Source organism: Homo sapiens, chromosome 19, assembly GCF_000001405.40.
Source record: "Homo sapiens chromosome 19, GRCh38.p14 Primary Assembly".
In the NCBI taxonomy this organism is placed as follows: Eukaryota; Metazoa; Chordata; class Mammalia; order Primates; family Hominidae; genus Homo; species Homo sapiens.
The window spans coordinates 33,863,099-33,869,970 of NC_000019.10; the positions used below are offsets into that span (position 1 = coordinate 33,863,099).

Genomic DNA, 6,872 nt, shown 5'->3' on the forward strand with positions numbered 1-6,872 from the left:
CACCGTGGTGCCAGACTGACCTCCGAGAAGACACTGACCAGAAGGCATAGCAAGGTTGACAGCTGACGGGTGCAGCTGGAGGCCAGGCAGGCTGGAGCAGGGGCCTGGAGAGGGGATGTGGAGTGGCAGGGAGAGCCTCTGCTGAGGCCTTCCTGGGCTAGGCCAGGGGGTCAGGGCTGCAGGGGGAGGGTGGAGAGGGGGAAGAGGTGGGGGTGGAGAGAGCCCAGGAGGGGAGCCTGGCCTGCAGTGGTGCTTCAGGCAGAAGCGGCCCTCCCACCAGCCCCTTTCCAGTCACATAAAGCTGGGTTTGTTTCCATTTATCTGCTTGACTTTTCAGCCAAGATGCTGTTTGAAAAACATATTGCTCTAATTTAATCCACATGTGCACCCCCAGGACAGAGTCTAAAGAAAGCTTCCGTCACGGCCCCAAAGTCTCAGCCTCATGGAGGTGGTAGGGGTGGGCCTTGTGGGTGACCCCAACCCACCTTTAAGGGCCCACCCTAAAGCCAGGGCCCACCCTACTTCTGTCCTGGACAAGCGGGTGGGGGTGTTGGTGGGACAGGGGACTCCCAAGGTAGTGTCCATGGCCCGCTCCCTGCACCTGCCCACAGGGGAAGGATGCAAAGAGCAGGAGGCCAGTGGACACAGTGGGCATGGGCTTGGGGTAGGGTTGGTGCATGAGGGGGTTTGACTTTTTTTTTTTTTTTGCAATGGAGTCTCACTCAGTCTGTCGCCCAGGCTGAAGTGCAGTGGCATGATCTTGGCTCACTGCAACCTCCATCTCCCAGGTTCAAACAATTCTCCTGCCTCAGCCTCCCAAGTAGCCAGCACTACAGGTGTCCGCCACCATGCCTGGATAATTTTTTTTTTTTTTTGAGACAGAGTCTCGCTCTGTCCCCAGGTTGGAGGGCAGTGGCGCAATCTCGGCTCACTGCAACCTCCACCTTCTGGGTTCAAGTGATTCTCCTGCCTCAGCCTCCCGAGTGGCTGAGGTACAGGTGCATGCCATCATACCTGGCTAAATTTTTGTATTTTTAGTAGAGATAAGGTTTCACCATATTGGCCAGGCTGGTCTTGAACTCCTGATCTCAAGTGATCCACCCACCTCAGCCTCCCAGTGTTAGGATTACAGGTGTAAGCCACAGCGCCTGACCCAGCTACCTTTTTTTTTTTTTTTTTTTGGTATTTTTAGTGAAGACAGGGTATTGCCATGTTGGCCAGGCTGGTCTCAAACCCCTGACCTCAAGTGATCTGCCCACCATGGCCTCCCAGAGTGTTGGGATGACAGGTGTGAGCCACCACACCTGGTCAAGGGGGCTTTGACTTCTAATCAGTTCCTTTCCCTCCCTTCCTCAGATACAGACCCAAACTCTGGGGCACACAGTGGTGACATAAGGCAGTTTATCCAAGCATGTGGAGTTGGGGGAGATGCTGTCTACAGGGTGGAAGCCAGGATGAGCCAGGAGCAGGGCTCTGAGATGGGGCACAGGACCACCTACGATCTCGCCTGAGCGCCTGGCTGCATATGAGGTGAGTTTAGGAAGCTTGTCTCACAGCCACACCCCACTGGCAAGAAGCCAGCAGGGAGCAAAACCAGTATGTTCATTTCAGTATTCTCTCCCAAGTGTGTGCCTGTCACATATCTTATTTTGAATCAAATTATGTATATTATTTGGAGGGATTGATTGCTGAAAATGAGAAAAGCTAGAAGGACCTGTCTCACACAGGTTTATTCAGAACTGAGACCAGAGATACAGCACTGGAGCATAGAACTGAAATGTCTGACTTTGATTCAGGGCCTAGGACCCTTCTGGTGTCCTACGAGTCAGGATCCTGGTGCACTGGTCCATGCAGAAATGACACTTCTCTTTCCTTCTAGAGTCATTCCCTCCACTCCACAACTCATTGTCCGCTTGGACTAGGCTGGATTCCCAAGCAAAGAACAATGCAGGAGGATTGCTTGAGCCCAGGAATTCAGAACCAGCCTGAGCAACATAGTGAGATTCTGTATCTACAAAAAATTTTTAAAAATTAGCCAGGCATGGTGGTGCACACCTGTACTCCCAACTACTCAGGAGGCTGAGGCAGGAGGATCACTTGAGCCCAGGAGTTGAAGGCTGCAGTGAGCTATGATCACACCAGCCTGGGCAACAGAATGAGACCCTGTCTTTGAAAATTAAAAACAGAAGAAAAAAAATGATAATGCACAACGAATGTTATCTGTGTCCTAGGCACCATGCTAAGGGCTTCCCATAAATTGTCTCGTCCTTGCCCGAGCCCTGTGGAAGAGGTGCCGACATCCCTCCCATCTTACAGGAGAGGAAACTGACAGTGAAACAGCACTTGACCTGCGTGGCGACTCTGTAACGTATCCTCTCTGCTGCGGTGCTGGACGGACTTAAGAGAAGATGCTGGCCAGAGGGCACCTTAGAACTCCTGGTTTGTTCTAGCCCATTTTTGTGTCGCTAAAAAGGAAGACCTGAGACCTGGGTAACTGATAAAGAAAAGAGGTTTATTTGCCTCACAGATCTGCAGGCTGTACAAGAAGCATGGCATCAGCACCTGCTTCTGGTGGGGCCTCAGGAAGCTTCCACTCATGGCAGAAGGAAAAAGGGAGCTGTGTGTCACATGGCAAGAGAGGGAGCAAGAGAGAGGGGAGAGAGGTGCCAGGCTCTTTTAAACAGCCAGATCTCGCAGGAACTCAGAGCGAGAATTCACTCATTCACCAAGCCATTCATGAGGAATCCATCCCCATGACCCAAACACCTCCCATCAGGCCCCCACTCCAACACTGGGGATCACATTTCAACATGAGGTTTGGAGGGGACACACACCCAAACCATATCACCTGATATTTGTAGAAATCAATGCCTGGGGCAGCTCCAGAGTGTCTATATAAGCAGCGTACATCTGGGACCCTCAGAGACTCCATGCCCCCTTGTGACTTCTAAGAATTGAATTCAGGCCAGGCTCAGTGGCTCACATCTGTAATCCCAGCAGTTCGGGAGGCTGAGGCGAGCAGATCACTTGAGGTCAGGAGTTCGAAAACAGCCTGACCAACATGGTGAAACCCTGTCTCTACTAAAAATACAAAAAAAAGTCAGGCATGGTTGGTGCATGCCTGCAATCACAACTACTGAGGCATGAGAATCACTTGAACCCAGGAGGTGGATGCAGTGAGCTGAGATCACACCACTGCACTCCAGCCTGGGTGACAGAGTGAGACTCCGTTTCAAAAAAAAAGAATTGAGACCCCCTCTGCTGGGAAGGACCAGGAGCAGCCCTCAGAGCCCATCTGGGTGGCATCTCAAAAGATGCTGCTGGAAAGAAGGAATCTGGGCAGATTATGGGGTTTCTGAAATGCACTAATGTATTTCTATCAGAAATGGCAAAGAAGTTGAAAATAGTATCTGAGAAGGTCAGAATGGAATGAGTTTCCATTGCTGCCTGCTAACCAGAGAATAGCTCTTGTTCATGTCTGTGACTGGGCAGGATTCTCGGGGCTGCCTCTGCCAAAGGCCGAGTATGGGGGTCTCTGGGGTCTTACCTGGAAAGCTTTGGAATTTCCCAGGCTGCAAGATACTCCCCTTTGTCTCAAGACAAGAGCTCAGCTGTGCAGCCAGGATGCAGCCATCAGGAGCTTCCTTGATGCTGGGAAGGGCTTGGGAGACCCTCCTGGGGCATGGCCGGCTCCACAGATGGGCAAAGGCAGGGAGGACGTCCTGCATTTTTCAAAGATGGACATCCATGCCAGGTCTGAGTGGTTCTGGTCCTATGGGGGTATCTCCTGGCCAAACCTTTGGTGAACCCCACCTGAGAAGCCAACAGGCACTTGCATGGCAGAGACACTTAGTGAGAACCCAGGGTCGGCGAGCAGGCAGGCAACAGAGGGCTGGAACACTAGGTCCACAAATATCAGTCCTGTGCTTGCGGGTACCTCCAGAGGAGGAGGCCAAAGTGAAGGCCTAGGACTCCACAGCTCCTGCTGTGGAGGGAGGGCAGGATGGGAGTTGAAGGTAGGGAGGCGCCCAGATACACAGGTCCAGTAGCAGATGCTGGCCACTACACACAGGCTCCAGGGAGGAAATCTGGCCAACACAACAGTAGAGCACCTCTTCTGTAACCTCTGCACTTTGGGAAGCCGAAGCATGAGAATTGCTTGAGGCCAGGAGTTTAAGACCAGCCTGGGCAACATAGTGAGACCCCCATCTCTACAAAACATATTTTTTTTTTTTTTTTTTGAGACAGAGTTTCACTTTGTCGCTCAGGCTGGAGTGAAGTGGTGCAATCTTGGCTCACTGCAACCTCTGCCTCCCAGATTCAAGCGATTCTTGTCCCTCAGCCTCTCCAGTAGCTGGGATTACAGGCATGTGCCACCAGGCCCAACTAATTTTTTGTATTTTTAGTAGATATGAGGTTTTGCCATGTTGCCCCGGTTGGTCTTGAACTCCAGAGCTCAGGCAATCTGCCCATTGCAGCCTCCCAAAGTGCTAGGATTACAGGTGTGAGCTACCGAGCCCAGCCAAAACATAAAAAATTTAAAACAGTTTAAAAAAAAAGTTAAAAAGGTTTTTGTTTTGTTTTGTTTTGTTTTGTTTTTTTAAAGTAAAGCACCTCTTTAATTGGGCTGGGCATACATTTTGGTTTATGAGATTGGTCTTTTCAACTTCCAGTGACCAATTAAGATGAAACTGCCTTTCACCATTCACTCAGTTGATAATGGCAGCACAAACATGTACTAGGTCCCTGGCTCACATGGCCAAGGGTCACAACGGCTGCCCATGTTCTCCTGATGGAAACTTTTTTATGGCTTTACAAAGATTTGATGTGATTCTTTTTTCCGTGAAGGACTGGGGCTCTCGACACAACGCTATACAGTAACGCTGTAATCTTGGGGCTTAATCAAAACATATTCCAACAACCTATTCTGGTGCCACGAATGAATGTTTATTTTAAACAATTTGCTACGGCTTTTTTTTTTTTAAGAGAGAGAAAGAAGGGAATTTCTTGAAGCCAAATTTCTCCCTGCCCTTAAGCTTGTCTCTCCACTCGAAAGACTGTGTCAGACGCCCAAGTCGTAATTAACCACAGAGCTGTTTGGGAGAAAGGGAGACCGAGGGGGTATTTGACAAAGAATTAACAGATGTCATTTCGGCGGCGGCTGGCCCACTGCTGCTGGGCCATTTGTTGGATGGAAGCTGATTCGGCTGCTGTCGTAAACAGAGAGTAGTAATAATTATATCCAGGCTGCATTAAGCATAGCAGATTGGATGTATAACATTCTGTTAAAAACCAGCTCCTCTCCTGTTTCTCTCGAGACACAATGGAGACGACCCCCAGTCCCCAGTTTTGAAAGCCGTCTCCAAGGATCCTGACAGACTTTCCAATAGGGAAATAGGTCATGTTCTTTCGTGGCTAATTCTGCTGAGGTTCCTGGGATGGCAAAGGGATCTGCTGAAAAGCGAGTTCCAGGCACACTTCAGTAAACCAGCCACACCGCACACCGCAGAGCTGCCTTTTTCCATTTGAAAAATGAAAGAATTAAATTCAAAACAAACAACTTCAATTTAACACCAAACTACAGGATAACCAATCTTAAAAATGTCACAGCGTAATGGATCTTAATACCCATAGAAAACACAAAAACAACACCATTGTTCCCCAGCAAATGCAGAGCAACCTCGCAGAATTTCAGTGAAGGAGAAAGAAGGGAAAAACACCTTATTACTTCCAACCCCTGCGAGCCATTTTGGTCTCCAAAGGTTTTAGGCTGCCTGAGGCCGTGTGTCTGCAGTGTTTCGGGAAATGACTTGCCTTAGCACGAACGCTGCTCTGTTCTGCAGCGACGCTGCCTGCCCGGGAGCGGTGCCGCTCCATTTCTGGTTAACTCTTCCTTCCCGGGCCTGCCGCTCGCAGGAGCAGTGTGGGCAGGGCCCAGGGACGCCACTGCAACCCAGCTTCCTGCAGGGCAGCCGGACTGGCACCTCTAGGAGCAGCTTCTCCAAGAAAGTGGCTTCAGCAGAACAGCCAGCTACCCCCACCGCTCTGGAGAATCTGTTCTCAAACCAAGCTATAAAGCGACTGTCATCAAAAGGCACAACACAGCTGAAACCAGGGGACAGAATCGGGGCCTTGTGGGCCAATACTGGCCGATCCAGCCTCTCAGGGTGCCCTGCTGGGGACAGCTTCCCATCTCTGCCACAAAACCAGGAAGGACACTCTTCTGGTTAGCAGGGTACAAGCGGAGTCCAGCCGGATACTAGGGCACAACTTGGGCCTGAGGACATGGGGTGAGGGAAGCACAGGGACAGAAACGTTTTCGCCACATATCTGAGCTGAAAGATGACAGAGAACCACTTAGCACTTAAGAGGTTAATACAATTCCTAAGTGTTCAGCAATCATGGCAATTTAGTGCCATTTCGATTATTACACAATAAACAGACCATGTTGTCTGGAAGCAAATTTTTATGAGTATAGCTGAAGGGGCTGCAACTTATTTAGCTGTGGAAACTCGAAGGGAAAGAGACTTCCAAATGCTAACACCACGGAGCAGAAACACAGGTAGCAAAGAAAGGTTATTCTCAGGTCACCGCCCTGGCAAGTCACCACCATGACCTTCAAAATGAGTATATCCTTAGAGGGAAATCAAGTTCACCAAAGGGTTCTTTACACAGAACCATTTGACTGATAATATTGTTGAGTTTCAGCGCAAAAGATTTGGGAATTTCCAGAAACATGTTATGTTCGGCAAAAAAAAACATGATGTTAACATGGGATGGGGAATGTATACAGGGTTTTGGCCACTTGGAATATGCATTGAATACAAACACCTGCAAGACAGCTCATTCATAGACACAGGTCGCTGCTGTAG

General features: G+C 49.7%; 1 long non-coding RNA gene across 1 annotated transcript, besides 1 other annotated feature; it reads right to left on the reverse strand.

Moving 5' to 3' along the window:
- Positions 1 to 4,925: 4,925 nt before the first annotated feature.
- On the reverse strand, positions 4,926 to 5,932 carry LOC124904693 (uncharacterized). The gene is made up of 2 exons (XR_007067230.1): positions 5,721 to 5,932; positions 4,926 to 5,515 (listed from the first exon to the last, which is right to left on the reverse strand). It is a non-coding gene; the product is annotated as an uncharacterized LOC124904693 (long non-coding RNA).
- Positions 6,030 to 6,672: an enhancer, noted in NCBI's record as "H3K27ac-H3K4me1 hESC enhancer chr19:34360033-34360675 (GRCh37/hg19 assembly coordinates)". NCBI's record gives its function as "activates a minimal SCP1, AML or CMV promoter by ChIP-STARR-seq in naive H9 embryonic stem cells {active_cell/tissue: H9 hESC(naive)}" and the evidence as "EXISTENCE:reporter gene assay evidence [ECO:0000049][PMID:30033119]".